Source organism: Homo sapiens, chromosome 13 (genome assembly GCF_000001405.40).
Source record: "Homo sapiens chromosome 13, GRCh38.p14 Primary Assembly".
In the NCBI taxonomy this organism is placed as follows: domain Eukaryota; kingdom Metazoa; phylum Chordata; class Mammalia; order Primates; family Hominidae; genus Homo; species Homo sapiens.
In genome coordinates this window covers 100,517,788-100,544,092 of record NC_000013.11, presented here as the reverse complement: position 1 = coordinate 100,544,092, position 26,305 = coordinate 100,517,788, and the positions used below count along the sequence as shown (strand labels likewise).

The window sequence follows — 26,305 nt, the reverse complement described above, 5'->3', positions numbered from 1 at the left end:
GTGCACAACATCGCATGTGACTCTTACTCCATCTCCACCATGTAGAATGGCTGCGTTTGCTCAGGGCTGGCACAGTGTGGGGCTGCTGGTGGTCACAGAAGGACTAGAGCAGCAGTTGGTGTCCTTGAAACCAGTGTACAGCCGTGATCACCATGCCCTTCGTGAGTCTGGTGGGCCCAGGATCTGCTGGGGCCAATTTTGACACGAGGTATTGAATGACAAAAGCAAATTAATGCAGCAAATGTAAAGATAGAGATAAGCTCTTTGCCATGCCACCTTCTGGACCAGGAGTTTATGATTCTGATACTATTTCTCCCTGGCCAGTGGCAGAGCCCCTCTGGCAGGGGCCTGAGCTTCATGCTACCCAAGTCTAAATCATTTTACTTTTTTCTAACAAAGTCTTAACTTGCCAACTGGCAGTATGCATTGTTACTGGCTTGATATATCATGTGGAGAAAACAGATGCTTTGACATGATGACATACAGATTTTACTAACATTTCCTCCTGTCATGAAATTTTCATATAAAGATGAATATTTTCTTGAGGCACCATTTATAAAGGTGGTTTTTATGTTAGAAGCTGGTGTTGGCCAGGCGTGCTGGCTCATGCCTGCAATCTAGCACTTTGGGAGGCCGAGGTGGGCGGATCACAAGGTCAAGAGTTTGAGACCAGCCTGGCCAATATGGTGAAACCCCATCTCTACTAAAAATACAAAAATTAGCCAGGCGTGGTGGTGGGCACCTATAGTCCCAGCTACTCAGGAGGCTGAGGCAGGAGAACTGCTTGAACCTGGGAGGCGGAGGTTGCAGTGAGCCGAGATCGCGCCACTGCACTCCAGCCTGGGTGACAGAGCGACACTCCGTCTCAAAAAAAAAAAAAAAAAAAAAAAAAAAAGCTGGTGTCTTTTTAAAATCCTTTTGTAAATTAGTTTAAGAAGAGTTAAACACTAGCCCTTTCCTTGTTCGGTTCACCTGGTCTGCGTATGCATGCTTTTAAACGTGTACCAGGCATATGAAGTGGTTGTGATTTGTAAACTATCATCATAAACTCTTAAATCCTGCCTTTTACACTCTTGCCACCAGGTGGCTAAGAAAAAAGAAATCAAGAAAAAAATCTAACAGTTATGCAAAGGACTCGTAATCACTTTCAAGTTCTGCTTCAGTGGTGAAATATGAAACTATAGACGGACTGCGTTTCAAGAAGGAGAACTGCTGAATAAGTGACAGGCATTTCAGGCAGCGCCCGACCAGATGGACAGCTCATGAGTCTTCTTATTTTCTCAAATATTGGCAATGGGAAACCAGATTTTGCTGATCTAAAGCTTTTGGAGACTCTCTGAGCCTGTTCCACCTCCATGCTGTCCCCTGGATGCCGCTATTGTCCGGACCAGTTAGCTTTGGGACAGAGGTTCAGCTTTGGCCTCTTGGATTTCCAGAGTGGAGGATGCCTGAATCCTGACCACAGCAGCAGGCCGCCCTTATCCTTAACACATCAGCATCAGGGAACGACATCTGCAGAGATGTTCAGTGCCCTCAGAATTGGCTCTAGGAACCCAAAGTAAAATTCTCCAAACTGATGTTAAGGTCTCATGCATGTCATTCTTTGATTCTGTGTATTAACAGTAAGATGCTATGAGGAAATCCGTGCACGAGGGATGACAGCGTGGCAGGCTGGAACACGCTTTTTAGATTTACTTTCGTGGACTGGATCTGTTAAGAGTAAGGCCAGCGTCCTAGGGCACAAACCGTGCTCTCCCCAACGTTTCCACAGCGTCATGAAGGACGATCTTGTCCCATGAAACAAACCCTACCCGTCTTCTTGCTGGGGGGGTCAGCGGCTGCTCTGCTTCTCCTGTGCACCCGGGGTTGCTCTTCAGTTCTCTAACTTAGTAAGTTGGACTGGCAGCCTCTTGGTTGTACACCATTTTATTCTTGATTCGCTTTTCTGATTCAAAGTGAACCTGAGTGCCTTAATCCTCTAAGGGGAATTAATTGCTTGTTTCAGTGCTTAACTCTGATCCTGGCTCAGTCCCCATGGGGACAAGTTTCTTCCTGTTAGGATCTGTGTGTGTTGTTCAAAACACAATCAGAAAGGTAATGAAGTTTTTCTTATGACAGAAGCCAGAAATGCAGGCTATTTTCTTTTCTATTGCATAAGTAGTGTTCTCAAACTAACTTTATGTTATGAAGGATGCTATTGAACTCAATACATAAAATGTAGAAAATTTTAGTTGGTCATTCTAGCAGGCTGGATTATTTCCTAGAAATGAAGGTTAACTTTTATTGCCTGGTTTTATTTTACAGAAATAAGCTATCATCTTCTGCAGAAGACAATTACTGAACTGATTTTCCAGAGTTGGAATTAACCTTCTGTGGCCTAATCACCTTCATTTCTACGTAATATCACCCTCCCAAGCATTTTTCTTGGTTTTGGAAAATCATTAAGGCCACAACCACTACTCGATATGCCTGATGCCCTCTCCCACTTATAATGTGTTCATTTTTATTTTTGAGAAGACTATAGCTAGTAGATATTTCTAGAAGATGTTGATAAAGGATGGAGTTAAGTGGAGACCTGAGGAGGGAGCAGGGATAAGGAAGGGCCAAGGGGAAGAGGGAATTCACATTCATCAGGTGCTCATGCCTGCACAGTCGGCAGTCAGTGGAGGGTAACTCTTTGGGGTAAATAGGAGGAAATGGAAGCTCAAGAACTTGAAATCACTTGCCCAAAGTCCCACAGGTGCTCAGGGATGGAGGCAGGAACTCAAGTCAGGCCTGTTATGGCACAGTGGATTGTTTGATACTTGCCCTGCACTCTGTCCCTAAATGCCCATCTACAGAATTCTGAGGTTGCCTTTCCTGATGCTGGCCCTGCAAGGGCTGGGCTCACACTGTGTCTGATGCAGCAGGGCTGACTTGGGGGCAATTACTTCACATTAAGGTAGAGACCAAGAGAAATACTTGTTTTAATCTGGAAAAACTCAGATGGCTTGCCTACAGCCGTTTCTTACCATTACTCATTAAACCAAGCCCTTACATTTTATCTGAGACCCTGACTCTAACCCTGTGCCATGGAAAAACAAACAAACAAACAAAAAACTAGCATGGTGAGAGGGGGCAGGGTTGAAGACACAGTAACATGTGGCTCTCAGAAGGTGGCATCCCCTTCTGCAGTGGCAGTGTCACCCCTCCCAGCCCGGCCCAGGGGCCTGGTGCACCCAAAGAGGAGCCCGACATTTTCTCAGCCAGAATGAATCACAGGCACATTCTGCTGCGGTTCTGAGAGGCATCTGGCCAGTGTTATAGACTTTTCATGTGTCCTGTTGGTTGTGATCCTCACAGCAGCCCTTGGAGATGGGCTGAACATGAGAGACAAGGAACAAGAGTACAAGGAGATAAGAAGCTCAAAAAACAACAAACAAAACCCAAAGCTAGCAGAAGGAAAGGAACAGTAATGATTAGAGCAGAGATAAACAAAAAGAGAATTTTAAACAACAGAGAAAATCAGTTAAACCAAGAGTTGGCTGTTTGAGAAGACTAACAAAATTGACAGACCTTTAACTTAAATAAAAAGAGAGAAAAGATCTAAATAACTAAAACCAGAAATGGACGAGAAAACATCACGTCCTACAGAACAACACATCTTGCAGAAATAAAAAGGCCAAGAGAATATTATGAACAATTATGCCAACAAATTGTCTAACCTAGATGAAATGGACAAATTCCTAGAAAGACACAACCTACTGAGACTGAACAGACCTACAACTAGTAAAGAGACTGAAGCAGCAGTCAAAAATCTCCCCCAAAAGAAAAGCCCACTCTCTCTCCGGTCCGTGCCTCCAAGATGACAAAGAAAAGAAGGAACAATGGTCGTGCCAAAAAGGGCCGCGGCCACGTGCAGCCTATTCGCTGCACTAACTGTGCCCGATGCGTGCCCAAGGACAACGCCATTAAGAAATTCGTCATTCGAAACATAGTGGAGGCCGCAGCAGTCAGGGACATTTCTGAAGCGAGCGTCTTCGATGCCTATGTGCTTCCCAAGCTGTATGTGAAGCTACATTACTGTGTGAGTTGTGCAATTCACAGCAAAGTAGTCAGGAATCGATCTCGTGAAGCCCGCAAGGACCGAACACCCCCACCTCGATTTAGACCTGCGGGTGCTGCCCCACGTCCCCCACCAAAGCCCATGTAAGGAGCTGAGTTCTTAAAGACTGAAGACAGGCTATTCTCTGGAGAAAAATAAAATGGAAATTGTACTTAAAAAAAAAAAAAAAAAAGCCCAGGACCAGATGGCTTCACTGGTAAATTCTACCAAACATTTACAGAATTCACACCAGTCCTCCTGAAACTCTTCTAAAGAATGAAGAAGAAGGAACATTTCAGTGTTGAGCATCACCCTGATACTAAGGCCAAAGACACTCCAAGAAAGAAAACTACAGACTAATATTCTTGATGAAGATCGATGCCAAAATCCTAAACAACACACTAGCAAACAGAATTCAACAACACATTAAAAGGATTATATGCAATGGCCAAGTGGGATTTATTCCTGGAATGCAAGGATGTTTCAATATAAGAAAATCAATCAATGTAATACACTACATTAACAGAATGAAGGAAAAAACACACAATCACTTCAATTGATACAGAAAAAGCATTTGACAAGATTCAACACAACTTCATGATTTAAAAACAGTCAACAAAGGAACAGAAGGAAATTACCTCAACATCATAAAGGCAGTATATGAAAAGCCCACAGCTAACATGATACTCAGTGATGCCAGAATGAAAGCTTTTCTTCTGAGATCAGGAACAAGAAAAGGATGCTGCTTTCATCAGTTCTGTTGAACATAGTTCTGGGAGTCCTAGCTGGAGCAATCAGGCAAGAAAAAGAAATTTAAAAGGCATCCAAGTCAGAGGTAAGAAGTAAAATTAACTCTATTTGTAAACAATATGGTCCTGTATAGAAAATGTAAACATTTCACCTTAAAACTTTTAGAACTAATAAGCAAATTCAGTGAAGTTGCAGGAGACAAAATTCACACAAATAATTATTGCATTTTTATACACTAACAATAAGCAATCTGAAAAGACAAACTATTCCATTTATGATAGCATCAAAAAGAATAAAATACTTAGGAATAAACTTAACCAAGCAGGCAAGATGTGTACACTGAAAAGTACAACACATTGCTGAAAGCAATTAAAGAGGACATAAATAAATGGAAAGACATCCCATGTTCATGGATTGGAAGACAATATTGTTCAGATGTCAATATTTCCTAAAGTGATCTACAGATTAATGCAGTCCTTTAATGCAGAAAGAGGAAAACCCAATCCAAAAATGTATATGGAAATATCAAAGGACCTTAAATAGACAATGTGATCTTGGAAAAGAACAATGTTGGAGGTCTCATACTTCCTGACTTCAAAACTTATCATAAAGTTACTGTAATCAAAATAGCATAGAACAGGAATTCCTCCTTATCTGTGGTTTTGCTTTCCGTGGTTATTGTTTAATGGGTACAAAGTTTCAGTTTTGCAAGATGAAAAGGTTCTGGAGACCTTTTTCACAACTCAAATATACTTAACACTACTGAACTGAACACTTGAAAATAGTTATGATAAATTTTATGTTATGTGTATTTTATCACAATTTTTAAAACTCCACAAATTAAAAAACAGGAAATACAGAGAAGGATTTGGTTTATCAGATAAAATTTAAAACAAGTAGGGAACAAAAAGCATAGGGAAGTGTAGGGTGCTTTGCAAACCATCTCTGCCATTGCAGAGCCTGAGTCCTCCACCATACTTGACAGGGTCACCTCCCTTGGGCCTTGGGGTCAGTGCAAGTGACAGAGCCAGAGAGGCTTTTGGAGTCCAGCAGGCCCAGGCTCAGTTCCTGCTGCTGCCTCTCACCAGCTTCGGGCCAGAGCCCTCATCTTAGTTTCTTCATCTGTTAAATGAAGGTAATACCACCTACTTTACAGAGTTGAGAGCATTAAATAAACTGAGATTACACAGGCTACTTAGTGCGGGGCCCAGTACACCCAGGTGAACCTCGGTCGTCGGTAAGCAAGGTCCCAGAAGTCCTCCCTGGGAATTAGCCTTCTTCAGAAACACTATCCTCCAACTCTCTTCTCCTCTTACCTCTGTCCTAAGCCTGCTTGTCCACTCTTGGATGAAATATTTTTCTTCCTTTGCAGTTGAATCCCCGGAATAGTGAAAACAATGACCATTGCGTGCTGAGTACCTGCTCTGTCCTGGCATCTTACAACTCTGTTCCAAAGTCTGTGCTGCTTCCATAGGACTGTTCTCACTTCTTTCCATTTTGCAAGTTCTCAGCCTGGCGGCAGTCTCCCTGCCCGAGTGGATGGTGCCACCACCTCTTACTGAAGGAGCGGTTTCTGAGGGAGAGTGCCTGTGCTGTGCAGCTGTCTCCCGCGAGGCGCCCTTTGACAAGTGTGTCTTCTGTCTCCCCTCAATGACACTGTGGCTTCATGGAGTCTCATTGCATGCCCAGCACTTAGCACAGGGCATCCCTGCATGGCTGCGTTGTTCCCTGCATGGCTGCATTTAGGCTTTCCTTTTCCTGCAAGTGCTGCCTCGTCTTTCCTTTCTCTCGTCTCAGCAGCAGGAAGAGCAAGTTCTTTCTCTGCCTCCCCGCTGCCTGGCTCCTTCAGCTATCACCAGCCATCCCCTCTACCCAGCCCTCACTCTGGTGCCACAATTGCTACTTTCCTGGCTTCTTCACGGGGACCTGACATACCCTTGAGTCTCCTGTACCTGAAGAAAACCTCCTTGCCATCCTTCTAAGCAAGCAGTTTCTGTCTTGTCGCTTCCTTTCTGGCTCACATCAAGTCTCTCAGAGGAAGGGGCTAGGGCTGGCGGTGCAGCAAGGGAGAAGACAGGGAGGACAGGCCCTGTGTCCAGCTTCCTCCTAATGCTACTCAAACGACCCACAAGGACAGTGGAGGAAAGCGGGCGACACGCTTCTGGAAGACGGAAAACAGAAGTGAGTGACAGCAGACTTAACCTAGAGACACCCAAAACTTAAGCTCCTGCACAGTGAGAGGCTGACAAGTAGTCAGCTGAGCAGTGTCTGCAACGCTGGAGGAGTCCAGAACCGCAGGCCACAGAGGCAAGGACAGGCCAAGACACGGAAAGGCTGGGAGTGTGCACAAGGTGCAGGGAGACCCCACTGCTTCCCCTCACACCTGGCAGAGGATGGCGGGTTCCTTTCTGGAGAGCCTGACAAGAACACCTCCGCTGGGGACACAGGCCTAGCTGAGTGGTGGTGAGGTGGCACCCTGAAAACAAGCATTGGGGGAAAGTGCAGAGCTCCCAGCGCCGCTCCCCAGAGTCCCGTGTGAGGCCTGCCACCTGACAGCTCAGCCTCACTTCCAAAGAGTGGCTCAGCTTTCCCAGCCAAGATCACATGTGAAGAAAATCTCTTGAAACACAGATACCAAAACAGAGAGAAAAGAGGGAGTTAGGAGAAATGGAGGCAATGAAGGGAATGAAGAAAACTTAAAAAATATATATATATTGAGCCTGTGAATGAACAAGAAGTTGAAAAAAAAAACACACAACAAGAAAAATATATTGGAAATAAATATCATGGCAAAAAAATTTTTAATAGAAGAAATGCAAGATAAAGCAGAATATAATATAGACCTGGAGGAAAGGAGAAAATATAAAAACATTGGAGGCTGAAGTCAGGACCTCCACTGCCGGAATATTGGGAGAGCCAGAAAGAGAACAGAGAGGAAGGAGGGGTAAGAAAATGCCCCCGTGATCCAGGATAAGGAGCATTCAGATCAAAATTCCAGCACAATCAATGAAAACAGAGTCTACATCATCAGAAAATTCTAGAATCTGAGGGATAAAAGGAAGCCCTTAAGAGCCTCCAGGGAAGAGCTCGAGTCACACACACAGGGGACCTGGATCACAGCACACTGACTTCTCTGCAAGAACTCGGAAAGTTAGAAGACAATGAAGAAATGTCTTTAAAGTTCTGAGGGAAATGATTTCTAGAATCCTCTACGCAGCCATGTTATTAACCAAAAGTGGGAGAGAATACACTTCAGCAAAATGTGGCCAACATCCCAGCCAGAGGACGGGACAGGAATGAGGGTGGCCTGGATGGCAGCGACACAGAGAGCCCAGACTAGAGCTGGCAGGGAGGACCTTCCAGCGGATGGTCAGGACCCGGGTTCTGGCCATGCTCTCAGAAACTGCGAGGCTGAATTACAATCCTAGAAACTAAGCGAAATGCAAAACAAACAAAAAAAACAAACTTGAAGCAATTTTTAATTTCAAGGAAAACATAAAGTTGTCCAAGAAAGGAAATGTAATCATAGTATGCTCTGTGTCTTAGCCAAGAGCCGTGTTTGCATGGTTCTAATGCCGAAATAGATCTGGGTCTGACCCAAAACTATGATGAGTCTGTTGGGAGGATGGCGGGATGTGGTAGGAGAGCCAAGGGTCAGGCTTCTACAGTGATGACAGCAGCGGCACACGCTACATGTCAGCAGATCACACAGGACCACGTGTGTTGGTACCCACCGCGGTCTCTGAGGCAGGCTGCTACTGTGACTTCAGTTTACAGTTGAGGAAGCTGAGGCACAGAGAGGTTATATGATCTGCCTAAAGTCACACAGTTAAAGTCTGTGCTTTAGAACCACTATGCTCACCCACTTTTTGAGTAGAAGGGCAAGATATGATTTAAGACATCAAGAAGTAGCAGCGTAAGTAACAATATGGAGATAAATGCTGAACACAACAGTTAAAAGCCTTAAAAGTGTTGCCTCCAGGGAGTGGAAAGGGGTAGGAAACTTCATTTTTCTTACAAAGCAATCTATTGACATTTTGGACACATGCCATTTTAAAAAACTGCATCAGGGAAAGCCAGGCAGGCACCTGGCAGTGGAGAGCTGGTCTGCAGTGTGACTACGGCCCTGCCCGGCTGGCTGGTCCTAGATCGCCACCAGCCTGGGACTCGGCTTCCTCACCTGCAGGTGCTGGACCAAACAGTTTCCAAGTTCTCTTCTGGCCCTTCATGTTCCAGCAACAAACAAGACCAGTGATTTAGAGAGCACGTGTGCTATAACGACAACCAGACAGAGTGATGTGACAGACTGAGTAGGCCCTGCCTACTACTCCTGCACCCTCCAGGTCAGGCGCTGGTCGGGGCAGGAGCCACCTGGATGAGGGGAGAGAGGGTGCAGGAGATGAGGTGGGAGAGTTAAGTCTGCAGCAGGAGATTGACAAGGACCCTCTGGGTGGTGCACTGGGGGCAGGATCCAGGGGAACAAAGACAACAGGGATGCAGGCAGGCATTGGAGGAGGAGAGCAGGTTGGGAGACGTGGCAGGGGAAGTGCTGATGGGTCTCGCTGGGGGCTGGGATGCAGGTGTGGGGAGGGACATGAATCCTTCCAAATGCTGAGTCCCCAAGGCAGCTGCACAGCAGGATCCAAACCATCATCGCCCCCCAGGTGCTCGTCTTTTGGGATAGCTCCTTGCCCGCTGTTGTAGACAGCTGCTTCCATCCAGTGCCCTCTCCAGACACCAGCGCTGCTCTCAGCTGGTGCCTTTTGTCATTTTCACGTACACCCCAGCAGCCGAGTCCTGGCAATTTTAGGCCTGAGCACTTGCCTCTTCTCTTCCTCAGTACCGTCCTACCCCAGGTTCTCCTTAATTCACATCTCAACTTTCCTATCCCAGCATGCCCCCCAGGTCTAATCTGTGTCCCCACACTGGGAAGGGTGTCCCAGGGCTATCACATGGCCAGGCCCACAGGGCGCACGTATCTGGCTAGCCTTGTGTTTTTCCCACGGCCACACCTTTCCTAGTGCAATGTGCCTGAAATCTGGGGAATACTGTTGTTGCACAGGCTGGTGATAGAACCAAGAGGCAGCAGACGTGCCTCTTGAGCAAAATGAGGCCTAGAACCCCCCAGAGCAGCTCTTGTTTGCTGAGAAGAAAACAGAAGTCCCATGAGTTCAGTGTGACTTCTTCAGTTTCTTCAGGGTCCACTTGTCCACATGATTGGTGGCAAGTGTGGTGTCCGGGGCCATTTCTGGCGGGTCACGAGCCGCTGCTGTTTCCTGGATAGCCGCATTTGTTTTCCTGCACCTGCAGTCCCGTCTGCAAAGCCCATCTCAACGAGTCGCCCCACAGGCTGTCACCTCATGGCGGGGGCACACAGGGCAGCGGAGCGAGGGGCCGGGGAGAGCGGCCCCCACCCCTTTAATGTTCATTTCCATTTTTGTTTGAGTCACTTTCACACAAATCACTTCTGTCTTTATGTAACAGTCTGTGGCCCAGACCCAGGCAAGTGGTAAATATTTACCTTCACGCTGGAGCCAAGATCGCTGCGGGGAGTCCCGTGAAGCACCACTGCCCTCTAAGACCTTGGAAGGGGAAACACCAGAAGGTGTGGGTGCTGAGCTCCGCTGCGTCAGACTGCCAGGACCTGAGTGGAACTCAGTGCTGAAACCTGGGTTCTCACTGCAGCTGGATAGCAGGTGGTTACAAAATTATATGTATTTTTAGGGTTATTTCTAATTTTTCTTTAATAGTTATTGGCAATTTTCAAAGTCCTTTAAGAAACACTGAAAACTGCTCAAGAAAATGGCAGTTCTGCAGGGCTCAGGTAGCAGGGCAGGCTGTTGGGACAGGTTTGACAGACTGTCCTAATACAAGGAGCGCCTTTTCCCAGATCAGCAGCTCTAGAGGGTGGCGGCCTTGCCTGGAACCTCCGCAACCTCCGCGCCCACCACACAAGGGCTGAGAACAGTAAGGTATGGGCTGTGCTGGGCTCAGGAGCAGGGGTAGTTGCTCACCTGGACAGGGTGTGTCTGGGAGGGCCATACTAGGGCCTGGACAGGGCGTCTTCTGGCCTTGAGCTGCTACGATGGGGGTAGGAGTTGGGAAGGGTGGAAGGCTGGTGCCCTCAGGGAGTCGGGGAGGCTGCGCAGTCAGCAGGTCAGGACTGTGTTCCTCAGAGAAGGGTGGCCTGTGCAGGCGAGGCAGGGCTGCCCCTGCAGGGCTGAGGAACATTAGTCCATCCAGGTGGTGTGGGGAGGCTGAGGGCACGGTCCTCCTGCCCAGAACGCAGGTGTCCTGTCTGCTACAGACACATCAAGGAAGTCACCAATGTGTGCCCCTTTCTCTAGCCTAGGGACTGGCAAACCCAAAAACACCATGCCCACAGGTTAGAGCCGACCTGGTGCCCGTTTGTGAACAGCCCACAAGCTAGGAATGGCTTTCACATGTTTAAATGGCCGAAAGTCAAAATATCTCATGATGTGTGAAAACTGTAGGTCATTCTCATCTGCGTCGGTAAGTAACGCCTTATCTGAGCACAGCCAGGCGCATTCAGGTGGTGCGGCCCCAGTGGAGGCTCTGTGGGCCGGGAGCCACGTCCCAGGTGCAGACACAGAGCTCCCACTGCGGGCTGACCTGTGACTTCCCCTCTCCCTGCAGCTCTGCCCGGATGGCCCTAGTCTTCGTGTACGGCACCCTGAAGCGGGGTCAGCCCAACCACAGGGTCCTGCGGGACGGCGCCCACGGCTCCGCAGCCTTTCGGGCGCGCGGCCGCACGCTGGAGCCCTACCCGTTGGTGATCGCGGGGGAGCACAACATCCCGTGGCTGCTGCACCTGCCCGGCTCGGGGCGCCTCGTGGAGGGCGAGGTCTACGCGGTAGACGAGCGGATGCTGCGCTTTCTGGATGACTTCGAGAGTTGCCCGGCCCTGTACCAGCGCACGGTGCTGCGGGTACAGCTGCTGGAGGACCGGGCCCCGGGCGCAGAGGAGCCGCCAGCGCCCACCGCGGTGCAGTGCTTCGTGTACAGCAGGGCCACCTTCCCGCCGGAGTGGGCCCAGCTCCCGCACCATGACAGCTACGACTCCGAGGGGCCGCACGGGCTGCGCTACAACCCCCGGGAGAACAGATAAGGGGGACGGGCAGGGTGGGCCTAGGTTTGAGAGCCCTGGGGCTCCAAGATGCGCCCAGCCCATGCTGGGTGAAGGCGGAAGCCGAACAGGGCCCTTTCCAATGAATCTGCCGGAAAGGAACCAATCTTTCAGTGGCAGCTGATTTTACAAATAATGTTGAGATACGAATAGCAAGGTGCTTCCCTCCCATCTTTCTACCTGGTAAGAAAAATTTAGGATTTTAACTCCCCTAAATGACATTTAGAGAACTCGTGTTATGCCTAATTCTTCTTCCTCCTCGTGTTGTTTCTGCTGTTGGCTCTGCTTTGAGCTCAAGATAATAATAAATATTTAGGATCAGTGTAAAGACTTGGTGTTGCCGCTAGATTTTAGCAGCCCTACTATACTGATTCTGGCCTGTAACCCCTGAGAAAGCCGATTTTACACGGCTGGGTAGAATTTGTAGAAAAGATCCACAGGGCAAGCATGCTGTATATCAGAGTGCGTATAGCACCATTCTTCCTAATTTTCAGATCAAGCTTCACAGCAAATATTAAAGATTATTTAAATTTGAAGTCGATGTTTTGGGAAATCAGATATAAAAGTGTTGGTACTGTGTTTGACCCCCACGTTTTTTGGTATACTTATTTGGTAGAAGGTTCTTTACATTCTGATCTAGCAAAATAATGAACACCCACTTGCTGGTAGACACAGCTGAGCGCCCGGACTTCAAGTGGAAGTTTATCTGAGCCCAGATCTCAGTAGCCAGACCCCGTCCCTGCCCCCTGAAGGGAGAGCATTTGGGGGTGAGTCCTTTCAAAGAAGAGCCAATGCATTAGTAATTTGTTCTTCAGGCCTGACAGAAGCTTAGCTTCCAAATACAAACAGCACTTAAAATAATTTTAGCAAGGCACGAAGTACCAATTACTACCCACCTCCATCTGATAATTGTCAGCATCGATTCAACTCGGTGCACGGCTCTTGCTTCTGCTTCCCAGCAAAGTCTGAAATGTATTCCAAGGATTTCAGAACCAAATGAAAATGCAGCTGCTGTGATCTTTAGTAACCTCATTCTCTGTTGGGAGAGCTCACTTACTCTTCAACTTAATGGCAGACTGTGATCGCTAACTGCATCTGGCACAAAAACATGATCATTATTTTTAGCTTCTTTTGCTTAATTGGAAACTTGCTTCACAAAAAACACAAAAAGGCTACGCTGGGTCTCAGCTGATGAGCTCGTGGCGGCCCTGTGCTTGATGAGGGCGGTGAGGCAGCCCAAGCTCCTTGTGACTGCCCTGGCTTGTGCAATGGGGAAGGGACCAGGCAGCGCGCTCATCCTCAAAACAAACAAAAACAGTGGAGACAGCACCCCCGGCCAACCAGGAAGCTTCAGGGTGACCTCCAGGGGAGTCAGCCACCAACAGTACACCCACATAGAGACACAGCAGGAAAGGGATTGCCAAAATCTGCATTTGCAGTCTCTGGTCCTTAGGAAGTTTTGAAAATCAGCACCAGGAGTGAGGGCCTCACTTCTAGAAGTAGTAAGGCAATCAGATGAAAAAATGGCAAGTGCTAATTTAATAAAGCAAGGCAGAGAACTGACTGACATTTATATCAATCTCTTAAAAGGATCACAAAGAAATGCTGGTAGTCTACTGGCAGAGCCTGTCGCCTATGTGTACATTGTCTTCATTCAAAGAAAGGGCAAACTAATATTTAGACAAATGCTCAGTTTTATTGATTTAATTTTGACACTAGGGAATCTCACAGCAGAAGTACAAATCATATGTACAAGTATTTATATCAATGAAAATTTCCATTGGTGATTTTTTGGCAGAATATTGGTCTTGACTCTGTGGAATAAATGACGACGTAAACGTAGCTGCACAGGGGTGTTCCTGTATAATGCTTGAATCAATTGTGTGTGAAAGCATCATGCAAATGGCTAATTAAATTGGGTGATGACTGAAAGGTTATAAATCCTTCATTCCAGCTCCACGAGCAGATCCCCTTCTCCAACTGTGTCTCCAGCTTGACAGTGCACAGATTTCACCTTGAATTTTGAAAAATGCAGGGGGAGGGGAGAGTAAGAATTAGTAACCAGAACCAAGAGGCGGCAGGCTCCTAATCCATTTCTAAAAATGCACAGTCCTGCAAGCTCAGCAGCACAGGGACAAGCCACCCCACCCCACCGGAGCCCATCGAAGGGACCCTGGTGAACAGGGAGGCGCCATGGTGGCCGTGGCCGTGGCTCACTCCTCCCCTTTCCCGTCTCCTCTGTCCTCGGCACCCTCACAGTGGCTGGCCTGAGGGCTACTCTCCGGAGCATTTGCGCTGTGGCCTGCGCTCTGGCACCCTCAGGTCTAGGCAGGCTCTTCACTGCCAGGTGAGTTCTAACCCCTAGCCTCCCTCTCTGTGGTTTTGAGGTTGTGGAAATGTTCTCTGAGAATTAATGGAATACTTAGTGTAAAAGAAAAAAAGGAACAAAACACACGACAGTCAGATCAGCTGCTGAGTAAGAGGAGGACCTCCCTGGCCTGACCTCCATTTTCTGAAGGGAAATGGAGTCCTTGGCAGGTGGGGCTGTGCGGTCGCCCTTTCCAGCACCATGGGTGGGTGGAACTGTGCCTTTTTGTCCTACCGGTTTCAGTCAATCTTTATCAAGTTTTGCTTTCCGAAATTTGTGTTCTGACTTAAAATTAGCAAGGAGGGGCTTGAGGTGGGGAAGAGACAGTCATTTGACTTCTTGGAGGCTCTTGCTTGGGCCTGAAAATGAAAAATGGATTAGAACTCATCGGCCACTGCAGATGCTGCTTGGACTGAAAAGGCTGCTTTCCACAATGCTCCTGCCTCCATTTAGCAGCCCTACTAGAGGACGCAGTGTTAGTGATGCAGCGATGACCAGAGTAGAGGATCTGTTTCCTTTGTGAACTTTTTTTCTCTGGGAGGAAAAGTGGCCTCGCAGGTAGGAACCAGGGCCTGCTACTTTGCACGGGGGCTTCGGGCCACTTCTGCTCTTCTTGGCTGGGTTGGAACTGAGAGGCCTGGGGATGGGGTGAGGTGAACAGAATGCACAGGAAGACTCCAACTAGGAGGGCCGAGGGAGACCCAGGCCACGAGGACAGGAAACCTACTACCACATGGCACCATGCCCCTTCAGGGAACTGATGAGGCCAAGGTCATTTCTGCATTAGCACCTCAGACCTGCCGCACAGGGCCCTTGGCATGCGGCGGACACACGTTCTCGGTCCCCCACACCTAGGCCAAGTTCTCATCATGGATGGATGTCGTGATACTAGGGCAGCACAAATGTTAAATCCCAAAGAACAGATAAAATTTTTACATGAACAGAAACCAACATTTTCTTGTTCACTTTTTAAAGAAGTAATTTAGAAAGAATTCCTTAAAAACGCCACAAATCATGTCATTCTACTCTTCACACCATACCAGCACAGTGCAACTGTCCACACCCCTCCAGACCGGCGGGCTGGGCTCAGGAGCCCCTGGCATACACCTGGGCCTCTGTTCTCCCAGCCGGGACCAGGCATGACATCCCCGCTGCCCCTTCTCTGAGAATCCATTTCATTGCCTTCTGCAGTGACAGAGCATGAGACAGAGGTTGTGTGTCTCTCTGATGCAAACCTGGTTATGAACTGATGGATCTCTCTTTGCACCTGATGTCCCCAAGGCATGGCCACATGCAGAACACGGCCAGCCTTGCGCTTCCCATCATGCTCTCCCATGCAGACACTTCCAAACCACAACGGCCCTCACAAAAGGATCATTTACCTACTAACGGCATCTTTTCAGTCTTTTTAGTCACAGGAAGAATAATGAAGTTACTGCTTAAAAGGACTTTTCTATCTTCAAGAAAAAAATACACTTAAGTTTCACTATGAATGAATTTCAGTACTAATATTTTTTTCTCCCTAAATAATTAAGTCCCACATGTACATGGGGTTTTGGCTTCTCTTGATCTGCAACTGAATTGTTCCCTTTGTAGAGAAATTGTCTTGAAGAGTTACATTAATTTTTGCAATTTGTAAAACCATTTGCTGCTGTGTCACCTAAGTCTCAGATAACTAACTGCCTTCAAGACAGATGTAAACATTAAAAATTAAAGACCCCTTAATTTGAAAGAAAGACATTAAGGTGAAGAACAATTGTTCTTTGACTACCTGAACATAAAGCACAGACTTTTTGGAAGCCACGCTCTCTACGAGGCAGGGATGCATCAGGGCAGAATGGCAAAAGCTCCCAATCCTAACGTCCTCCTCTGTAGAAGCGAGGGGGAGAGGGCGCCTCTGTGGCCCTTTCCAGCCAAACCACCCACGATTCAAAGGTGGGCGTTCCTCCATCACAGGGCCGGCCTGGGCTGATGGGGACTTAGGGACTCACCGTGCCAGTTTTCCCAGCTGTCATACTATTCTGCATTTTCATGGCTTCAATCACACAAATTTCTTGACCTTCTGCTACCTGGAAAACAAAAATGGGCAGAAGTTTTAAAAGCATTCTAATTTTGCATTAACACTTAGGAATGAAGCCATTAAGAAATTCTTTGTCAAATGCCCCAAAATATGTGTCTATGAACAGCAGCAACAATCTCTAATGTTTCCTATTCCAAGCTCATCTTTAGGAACAGTAGAGAAAAGCCATTCTCTCTCTCATAAAGTCCTCGTTGGAAAAAAAAAAAATCCCTGACCCTGGAGAAGTGGGGACCCTGGCGGCGGGGCCTACCCTGGGGATCTCTGAGTCTGGCTCTGCCACTAACAGAGGTGTTCGGAAATTGGAATGTTTTCCACTTACCTGAAATGTCCAGAATAGGCAGATCTCTACAGACAGACTCGAGGTTGCCTGGGGTTGAAGAGGGAAGGGGAGTCACTGCTGAAGGGTACAGGGTTTCTTTTGAGAGTGATAAAAATGTTCCAAAATTGATTGTGGTGACAACTACACAACTCTGAATTGACTGAAACCACCGAATCGTACACGTTAAAGGGCTAAATTGTATGTGAATTACATCTCAGTATAGCTGTTACCAAAAAAAAAAAACCACCACCAAATATACATATTTCTGTCTATAGTCCCGGGGAACTGGGAACAGCTCGGCCCTGGCGCCACGAGGACCACTGTCCCATCCTCTGCAAGACACAGCGAGTACCCACAACAAGGCACAAGGCAGCTTCCGGAAAACCCTCCAGACACAGGAATGACTTCCAGAGCTACATGCATTCCATGCTAGGAGACTGGGAGCGCCCACGGGCCTTTGCTCAGACTGCGTTCAGAACTTGCCTTTCATCCTGAGGGGCAGCCAGGCTGAGCTGGGTTAAGCCCACTGGCGTTAAGCGTGAGGCTTCCCTGCAGGAGTGAGCTGCAGCTGAAAACCATGCTGCGCACTCACTTCGCTCTGCCCCGATGGGTCAGCGTCCTGAGCCGGCCAGGTTTTTCTTTGGCCTCCCAGTCTTTGAAACGGGCAAGTCCAGGTTCCTAGGGCAATGGCTATGTGGTGTGGGTGGGTGTCCTGGCATGGGGCTCCTGGCCCCTCACACCACTGTGGCCATATTCGTCCAATGCCTCAGAAGCGCCTAGAGAATGTTCTTTCCTGAAATCCCCAGATGATCTCCAAGTCCCCCTCTGGCCCCCCCGTGTGGCGCAAGCTGTCTTGCTGGCACTCTGGAGCGCCTGAGCCGATGTACTCTTTTCCTCTGCTGTTCAGGTGGTGGGCTGCTTCTTCCTGGCATAGAAATATAGGAAGAGAGACGATGCCAAGGCTTTGGCGCTGGCACGGAGGAGAGACACCGCGCTGAGGAGCTGGGCCTGGAAGCGCTGCCCGCGCTGCCCTTTTTGATTCATTTTCACGTGGCATCTGCATTCCAGGGAGAGCGAAGAATCAGCCTCGAGGGCTGTTTGCAGGGGGATGGGAGGGGCAGCGCAGAGACAATGCAGAGGCCCCCATCAGGGGTGTCAGAACAGTCACTCCCTCCAGTTGGCATTTTACAGCCTTTTTTCTCTCTTCAAAGGCAGGCAAAGACCAGGGAATCCAGGAGCAGGTCCAGTTCACTGCAGCACACCTGCCAGCCAGCTCCACACAGGGGACCCTGGAAGCCTGGCCGTGTCCTCTTAGAAGCTGGACTCACTGCGACTGACTCTGACCTAGGACTGAGCACTCAGGCAACAGGACCGGGGACTCTCTGGGAAGTGGATCTGAGACTCAACAGAACATAGTAGAAATGCCATCCAAAAATGAGGAATCCACTCTCCCGCTCTGGGCACTGTTCTCTCTCCAGGTGGAGGAGCTTCCTGGGGACTGCATGCCGGCCTCCCAAACACCCACCCAGCCCTTCCTCTGCAGGCATCTGAGGGCCCAGGACTGGCCAGAGCCCCGTCCCCCCGCCAAGTACATTGGCTTCACATGGGTGGCACAGCCCCTACCCTCTCTGCCAGTAGGTGTGCCCTTCCACCACACGTCCCCTCCCATCCCCTTGCTCAGAATCTGCGGGCCAGACAGGCAGGCAGCTCCTGCTTCTGTTTTACAGGATCTTCAAGTGAGTGCGTTAGCAACTCAACTGCAAATATGAAGAAATGCGGCCTGGGGATTTCCCAAGGTCACGCTAGGGGCAAAGGCCAGCCTGACCTGGCTACAGCTCTACTCTGGGCCCCGCCAGGGCCTGGGAGCAAGTGGGTGGTGGACAGGAGCTTAAGGGGCTCTGCTGTGGCTGCCACTGACCATCTTTCTGGCTGGCTCTGTGCTTCTAATGTGGGTGATTTGCAAAGAGGTAACGCACAGGTAACTGCAAGTGCTGGGTCCCCAGTTGTTCATCAGAAAAAAACCTCGGATTTAGCCCGAGACAATCAGGAAAAGTGGGGAGGCCTGAAATTCAAATAGTCCTTCTGTCTGATTGTGAGAGTCCGGCAATTCAATTCAAAGGACTTTAAAGAAGGCGTGTCCCCACTGAAGCGATCCCATCTTCTGCCCCATCCAAGCACAGCACTGAATCATAGAATTAGATCCTCCCTGCTCCATCCGCCTTTCATTCCTGTTTCCCCTCCCTAGTTCCTCTCGTGGTGTCTACTAGTCTACTTATTTAGCTCTATCCTATCTATCTTATCTGCCTGTCTGTCTGTCTATCTATCTATCTATCTATCTATCTATCTATCTATCTATCTATCCATCTTAGAGACAGAATCTCGGTCTATCCTATCTATCCTATCTAATCTATTTTATCTATCTATCTATCTTATGTAATCTAATCTAATCTATCTAATCTATCTATCTATCTTAGAGACAGAATCTCGGTCTGTTGCCCAGGCTGGAGTGCAGCGGCACAATCTCAGCTCACTGCAACCTCTACCTCCCAAGTTCAAGCGATTCTTCTGCCTCAGCCTCCTGAGTAGCTGGGAATACAGGTGTGCACCACCACGCCCAGCTAATTTTTGTATTTTTAGTACAGATAGGGTATTACCACATTGGCCAGGCTGGTCTCAAACTCCTGACCTCAAGTGATCCGCCCACCTTGGCCTCCCAAAGTGCTGGGGTTACAGATGTGTGCCACTGTGCCCAGCCTAGATTATTTAGCTGTAAATGAAAAACTAAGTAGCACACTTCTCTATTAATTTTGCACCATCTGTTTTGTAGACCGTTTTCCCTAATTCATCCCTAAGAGATGGTGTTTAAAAACTTCCTTCATGCCTTACAAAATAGTGAGATACATCTTGCTCAACAGAAACATGTTCTACCCCAACACACACACACACACACACACACACACACACACACACGAGCTTAATTGAATTTCAACATGTTTCATCCTTTGGAAAAAATTGAGCTGGAGAACCAAATGTACAAACCAAATGTCAAAGAATGCAATGGAAACACAAACTACACCTGCCCCAGTCTGTGGGAAGAGGCTGACACTCGAGGGCGTGCTCCAGGGATGGCTGGGCATTGAGCTGGGCTCCTTCCAACAACAGCAAAATGCCAGCACTCGGCCCTTGGGAGCAGGGGCTCTCACCTTAGGACTTTGGAGCCTTGCTCCCAGCAGCGCTGACTCCTGCAGAATGTGTCGCACACCGTAGAGTACATGTAGGGTACACCAGGGAGCTGGGCAGTGGGCCCAATGGAAGCAACACCTTCCGGATTGCCCAGGGTGGCTGGGAAGCCAAGCATTAATTGGGTGCACAGAGAGGGCCCTCCACCATTCCGTCTCCATCAGACGCCCCCATGTGCGGGGCCCGTTCCTGCAGGATGTGTGCGCACGTTTCTCCAACACTTTTGTGAATCATCTGATAAAGACTTAATGATTGTGACAGGATGTCTCCAATGTTGGGCTTACAAAATGGTCACAAGCCTCACAAGTCTTTTTGATGAACCTAGTGGGCCTGATGTATCTCCCCGCTCCCTGTCTAATTGGTGTAAAGTTTGAAGGCCTGAATCCTGTATCTTTCATCCAGCTTATTGCGTCCTCTCCTTTGACACGAGGTCAAGGTTCACGTTCGCATCCGATTATCAGAGCGGCACTCATTAAGCAGGAGTCGGCCTTGCCCCAAACAAGGCTTGAGAGAAACCTCGGCCCATTTACTCAGCAGATTTTCGCATGTCGTGGGGGCCCGAGTGTCACCCAGCATTGCTCTGTGCTGAAGAGCTGCAGACACCTCCAGCTGATGATGAATTGTGAGTGATGGGAATCAAATCCCGTAAAGCCAGCTGCTTGCCATGGTCGGCAAAATGACTCTAATGGATATAGGCTGCCAATTTTCCAGTTTTACTGGCAAGTCTTCCAAGTGTAATTAAGGGAAGTTATAAATGATATGGAAATCTATCAAGTTCCATTTATTTTCAGAGGACTCTTTCCCCAGAGACTTTTATCTTCAAGCTTATAGTATGCTTTGTTGTGCTAATGATTTAAACCACTTCTTATTTCTGATTAAAGCCCCCAATATCCTTCTACCAAGTTCTCTTCACTCCTTCCACAAAGATTAAAAGACAGAGAACCTTCTCCCGCACATGCCCCCTCTCAGAAAACATGCTAAGACAGGGACACATTTGGCAATGCCGATCATTCAAACTGCAGACTGCCATGACCACGAAGAACGCTCAAAGAAAGTGCAGGAAGAAAAAGAAGAGAACGGGGGAAAAAAGACCACCAAACATAAAAGGAAGCCCCCACAAGCACAGGCTTGAAAGCGGTGCTCAAGACCAGATATTCATCAGAAGGTGGTGTAGCTCACTAATGTTATTTGATTTGGAATAAAAGCATGAAAATGATGGCAAAGGCCTAAAATTGGAGATGTAAAGGATGACTGCACAGTATTCCATTTCTCAATTTCATCCTTCAGAGCCACAAAATGGGGGTGATACAGTGAGTGGATGAGATTTACAGTAACAGCTGTGGTCTCCCACACAAGGGAGGCCCTTCTAATGGGCTGAGGTCTGTTTGGAACAGACGGGGAGTAACAAAACAAGGTTCCCTATTAAGAGTGTGCAGTCGTATTTCTGATAAAGAAAATGACGAGGGAGTCAGGTCTCCTTTAAGACAGCCCATCCTCTTTTTGTTGCCCAAACCCAGGGCTGTTTTAAAGGTGTTATCGTTGAAATAGAGGCCAGGGGACGTTCACAGCATCGAGCCGCCCCGCCCCCCAGGAAGCCCACTCTCTAGCAACTGTAAGGAATGCAGAGGAAACGGTGCCAGTGGCATATGGCTTTCCACTGTGCTAAACATTCATACAAAAGACAGGTTCATCAGTCATTGGAGTATCTGGATAAAAAATTAGCTCCTGATGGATGGTATTTTGAGCTTACCTGCTGCTAGTACATTACCAGAGAAACACAGGTTTTGAAACCCACATGACATTAGAAACTGCAGACCATGAAATACGACACGTGCAGGAGCACACAATGTACGCCAGATTATACAAAATAATAAATAAGCTATTTAAACCCTCTGCCTAAAATTGGGCCCGCTGCAAGGAACCCTGGGTCACTTCTACGCAGGCCAATTAATGCACAGCATCTGCTGTACAGAAGCAGGGCATGAAGCACTTCCGAATGATTTCGGCAATTAAAAGAAAACTGTTTCCTGCCTGTTCAGACCGCAACTGTTTCGATGCAAGAGTGAGCACCAAATCACTGCGTGCAGCTGAAAAATTAAGTCCCCTTTTTGGGGAAGAAGGGTGGGTGGGAGGAAGAATTTTTATGGAAAAAGGAGGCTTCTTTTGTTGTCCTACATTCTGTGTTTTTCTGCCAAATTAGACAGAAGGCTCGGAGGGCTTACCAGCCCGCTGCAGTTTCCACTTCTGCAACGCCGGACCACCGGAAAAACACGGATCAATATCAGCCCTGGTGTCTACGCCACAAAAGTGAAAATCCCACCATTTCATTGTTAAAGGCTGGTCTGCTTGGAACACAGGTGCCTGAATGCCACACATTTTAAGGCCCTTAGATCTGAAGAAAGGTTCAGTTAACAGTCACAAAAAAAGGCATCTCAGATTGAGTGAAAAGGCACTGCCTGCTCGCATCTGATTATATTAATAGCAACTTCCTCTGAGCCGGTAAGATAGGCTGGTAAATATCCCCTGATATTTCCTGAAGAAGAAACGTGTATTCACATCCCAACATCTTCATGTAAAGCGAGACGGGGAGGAGGCCACGGGAGACTGCAGTATTTGAGCAAGGATGGAACCATCATCAAATTACAAAGACAGACCAGGCGGGCAGGAGACGCCGCCCAGCCCTTTCTCCGGCTGAAGACTCCTTTAATGGCCCATGCACGAGCGGCCTCACTCTGGAGGGCGCGGGAACCCAGGGGCCACCCGTCCAGCCCCGCTGCCGGCTCGGGACTTCAGGCACACGTGCCGTCTGCCTGGTGCTCCCCTTGTCTCTCAAGTGGGGCTCCCCAGAACTGGGCAGCACCCAAGGGGCTAAGGGTAAGAGTACAGACTTGTGGCCGATATAAAACAAGTCCAGTTTCTTTTAAAATTCCTTAAAATGAAGAAAAATATGACTCCCTGCTGCCCTCTAAGTTAGCTCAAAATCAGAGCCAAAGCCTGCAGTTACAAAGAGAACTAGTGGAAACTGATGTCATTCACAATACCTTTGGAAATTAGCCTGGACCCTCTACCTTCGTAAAGCATGCTGCCTGAAAGCGCTCCGTGAAAGGATGATTTTTTGTAAACTTTTATTTTTATTAAAAGAGAAAAAGATAGTTTACATCTTGGTAAGGCTGAGAATGGTCACTTATAAAAATGTTGAAAACAAAGAAAACACCTTCTACTCCCAAGCAGATCACTCCTGAAAAATCAAACGCCAAGCTTGGAGAAGACTCTCCTATAATATTTAATATACTGATCCACATAAATATTTTTTATTTTATAATTATCATTGAGTATATTCAACTGTAAAAATTCCCAGTACTAATAGATATTTTTTTACCTCCTCATCTTTTTCTGCCTCCTCTTATCTACTAATAGATATTTGTTACCTCCAACAAAAACCAACTCTTTTTTTTTTTTTTTTTTTTTTTGAGACGGAGTCTCGCTCTGTCGCCCAGGCTGGAGTGCTGTGGCGCGATCTCCGCTCACTGCAAGCTCCGCCTTCCGGGTTCACGCCATTCTCCTGCCTCAGCCTCCCGAGTAGCTGGGACTACAGGCGCCCGCCACTGCGCCCGGCTAATTTTTTGTATTTTTAGTAGAGACGGGGTTTCACCGTGGTCTCGATCTCCTGACCTCGTGATCCGCCCGCCTCGGCCTCCCAAAGTGCTGGGATTACAGGCGTGAGCCACCGCGCCCGGCCAAAAACCAACTCTTAACATTTAAAAATAAATGTTATCTGGAAAAGATTAAAAGGCCAAATCCAGGGGTAGTCGTTACCTCTGAAGAAGACAGGACAGGAATGAGATGGAGGAGCTTGCCACAGGGGAAGTTCATGTTATATGTAATGTCTCATTGTTAAATAAAATTTGAAACACATATGGAAATGGTGAACAAAGGGCACAGGAGTGCTTGTTGGATTCTTCTCTGTAACTTTCTGCATGTTTGTAGTATTTCATAATTTTAAAGTCTTAAAATGTTAACAAATGCATGGATCTCTGTGTACATGCTGTGAGATACAATCTGAGGTTTGGGTGAAAACTGGCATCTTGTCAAATAAACTGCTTGAATAACTATTGCTATAAAACATATAAATTTAATTACTGCAATTATTTTGTGATTGTAAATCAAGGTATCCAGAAACTGGAAAGTCTATGAAGCAGCCAGGCTAGCCCCTCTGCCAGGGAAAGATGCAGTGAGCGAGCCTGGGCTGCATGAGGCACACAAGCGCGATGCCAGGCAAACACCCGTCGGGAGGGCCCAGCCCTGCCTTCTCGTTAGGATACGTGAGAGCTTATGAAATTTTAAAATCTTGTTTAAGAAATAAAAAATAAAGGTATCTCACCAAGTTTGCCAGTTCTGTATGGTCGGCTATAAGCTCAGTTACATGAGGCTTAGAGACAAAGGGGAGGAGGGGACGTCAGACTCTGAGATGGGATGGGGTGCCTGTGTCTTGTGGCCCTGACTGCACACCTGCTTGGGAGCCTGCCCTGTCAAAGGAGCACGTGCAAGGAGGAAACAAAATCAGGGTGAAGTGTAAGTGGTGTTGCCACCGACGCCCACCGATGTGATGCTTTCCCTGGCACACTGTACAGTAGGCTGTTTCTCGCCTTTAAGGCGTTGTTCACAAGAGGAACAACCGCAGACACCTCACTGTCCCCTGCTGAAGGTCAATTCCATCACGAGGTGGATCTTTTCATCTTAGCCCCACCAAAATATCCCGAAGTCTAATATCGAATGGGCTAATTCGCAAGAAAAAGCAGCAACAGGTACTTAATTTCAATCTATTCTTTCACCTGGTTTCACTAATTGTTAAGAAAGAAAGAAATGCAGATGAGTATATAGCAGCTTATGGTTTGTTTCTCATTTGTTTGGTGTATTAAATGAGTATTTCTGATGCAAATCTGTGATGACTGCAGAATACGAACATTACTTGAAAGAATCTTAACTAAATGCAATATTAAAATGCCTCCTTGGGTGACTATCTTATGGGGTGGTTTTGTTTCTGATATCAAAAGGCTAACAAAGCGAATGTGCTCATCATGACTTTATTTGACTTCAAAGTCAAAGTGAAAATTATGCAATAAATTCAGCAGCTATAAGTCTAATTTGACATGTGGAAAAATGTATTCTACCGTTATTCTGAAAATATATATATTTCTAACATTTCTGTTCAAGAGTATCATAAAGGTAGAAGTTTGAAACAGCTGAGTCATGCTAACTTTGATTACAGAAGTGCTCCCAGTTTACAATAGTGTTACGAGTCTAAGAAAACGAGTTTTCAAACTGAAATGAGTTACTGCAGAAACATTTTCAGAAGGCATATAAAAAGGCACTAAAATTTATTCTATCAGTTGTTTCCTAAATTATATTACTGATTCTGGACCTTAATAATCCACTGTACTTTCTTATTGATTTGTTTGCTTACCTGCATTTTACTGTGTATTAACATCCTCTCTCCACGTGTTCGGAAAAACTATTACACAATCATTTAAAATGTGACCTGCCACATTTAATGTTAAATAGTATATAACAGACACTGAAAAAGTTATTAGGAACTTTTGCTGTGTGAACCCTACAGAAGCCCTTCAAATAAAACACAGCTTCTGTGTTTAGGGCAGGCTGAGTGTTTCAAATGAATCAGTGCACAAGGCCCTGCCACACCAAGCGCCCCGAGCGGATTCACTACTTCTCAACGGCCACCCCACATCTCTTCTTCCTGAGGTTTTTAAACTGTGTTCAAATTGTTTACTTCACAAAACAGATTTGTTCATTACGATTTATGTGACACTTTTTTTAGAACTTATTGCCAGGCCCACCATTCTACGATTGGTCAAGTTTTACTTCAGCTAAGCTAAACAGAAACATGATAGATTACTGGAATTTAAACGATAAAAAGTAACATTTCAAAGAAAAACAGAATACTTGTAAGGCCCTTAGTTGTTTTAGGGTCCTTATTTTCCTTGAAAATACACCAAGGAGACTGACTCCATTATCTTCCCACCCATAAAAGGGGAACCTCGCCCGGCTATTGTTAGTGCGGAGGAAAACACAACACGCCCCGCGGTGTTAAAATCACTTAAAACCGCAAAATTTCAACGTGACAGGTAGTGTTTCCTCACAATGGCCTCAAGTAAGTGACGTGCCTCTGGTCCAAGGAAGCTTCTTGTGTTTTAATTACACTAAGCAGAATTTAACTATAGAAGTTGCGCTAAGAGCCGACGATGAAACTTCTCAGGCTGCATTGGGTTTCGGTATTAGTGGTTTGGGACATTTTTCAC

The 26,305-nt window shown here is 47.1% G+C and overlaps 2 protein-coding genes and 1 pseudogene across 24 annotated transcripts in view, besides 4 other annotated features; 2 read left to right on the top strand and 1 right to left on the bottom strand.

Moving 5' to 3' along the window:
• Window positions 1–13,913, top strand: part of GGACT (gamma-glutamylamine cyclotransferase) — a 58,610-nt gene extending 44,697 nt beyond the window's left edge. For 2 of the 4 annotated variants that reach the window (NM_001195087.2, XM_047430708.1), the window contains exon 3: window positions 11,492–13,913. In NM_001195087.2, the coding sequence (NP_001182016.1) occupies window positions 11,502–11,963 (462 nt within the window). In that variant the 5' untranslated portion in view covers window positions 11,492–11,501 and the 3' untranslated portion in view covers window positions 11,964–13,913. Of the gene's footprint in view, window positions 1–3,818; window positions 9,178–10,290; window positions 10,531–11,491 lie in introns of those variants that run through there. The other 2 variants (XM_011521129.4, NM_033110.3) reach the window with 2 other exon arrangements.
• Window positions 1,028–1,207: an enhancer, noted in NCBI's record as "active region_7960". NCBI's record gives its function as "activates an Ori minimal core promoter by ATAC-STARR-seq in GM12878 lymphoblastoid cells {active_cell/tissue: GM12878}" and the evidence as "EXISTENCE:reporter gene assay evidence [ECO:0000049][PMID:35858748]".
• Window positions 3,821–4,261, top strand: RPS26P47 (ribosomal protein S26 pseudogene 47; annotated as a pseudogene).
• Window positions 12,755–13,724: an enhancer, noted in NCBI's record as "H3K4me1 hESC enhancer chr13:101182623-101183592 (GRCh37/hg19 assembly coordinates)". NCBI's record gives its function as "activates a minimal SCP1, AML or CMV promoter by ChIP-STARR-seq in naive and primed H9 embryonic stem cells {active_cell/tissue: H9 hESC(naive and primed)}" and the evidence as "EXISTENCE:reporter gene assay evidence [ECO:0000049][PMID:30033119]".
• Window positions 13,658–26,305, bottom strand: part of PCCA (propionyl-CoA carboxylase subunit alpha) — a 441,343-nt gene continuing 428,695 nt past the window's right edge. For 19 of the 20 annotated variants that reach the window (NR_148030.2, NR_148027.2, NR_148028.2 and 16 more), the window contains 2 exons: window positions 16,341–16,418; window positions 13,658–13,995 (listed from right to left, as the gene is read on the bottom strand). Coding sequence is in view for 14 of the 20 variants with exons in the window: in XM_017020609.2 (XP_016876098.1) it covers window positions 13,927–13,995; window positions 16,341–16,418 (147 nt within the window). In the remaining 6 variants the exon portion in view is untranslated. Of the gene's footprint in view, window positions 13,996–16,340; window positions 16,419–26,305 lie in introns of those variants that run through there. The other variant, XR_007063681.1, reaches the window with a different exon arrangement.
• Window positions 18,459–18,981: an enhancer, noted in NCBI's record as "H3K4me1 hESC enhancer chr13:101177366-101177888 (GRCh37/hg19 assembly coordinates)". NCBI's record gives its function as "activates a minimal SCP1, AML or CMV promoter by ChIP-STARR-seq in primed H9 embryonic stem cells {active_cell/tissue: H9 hESC(primed)}" and the evidence as "EXISTENCE:reporter gene assay evidence [ECO:0000049][PMID:30033119]".
• Window positions 24,191–24,856: an enhancer, noted in NCBI's record as "H3K4me1 hESC enhancer chr13:101171491-101172156 (GRCh37/hg19 assembly coordinates)". NCBI's record gives its function as "activates a minimal SCP1, AML or CMV promoter by ChIP-STARR-seq in naive and primed H9 embryonic stem cells {active_cell/tissue: H9 hESC(naive and primed)}" and the evidence as "EXISTENCE:reporter gene assay evidence [ECO:0000049][PMID:30033119]".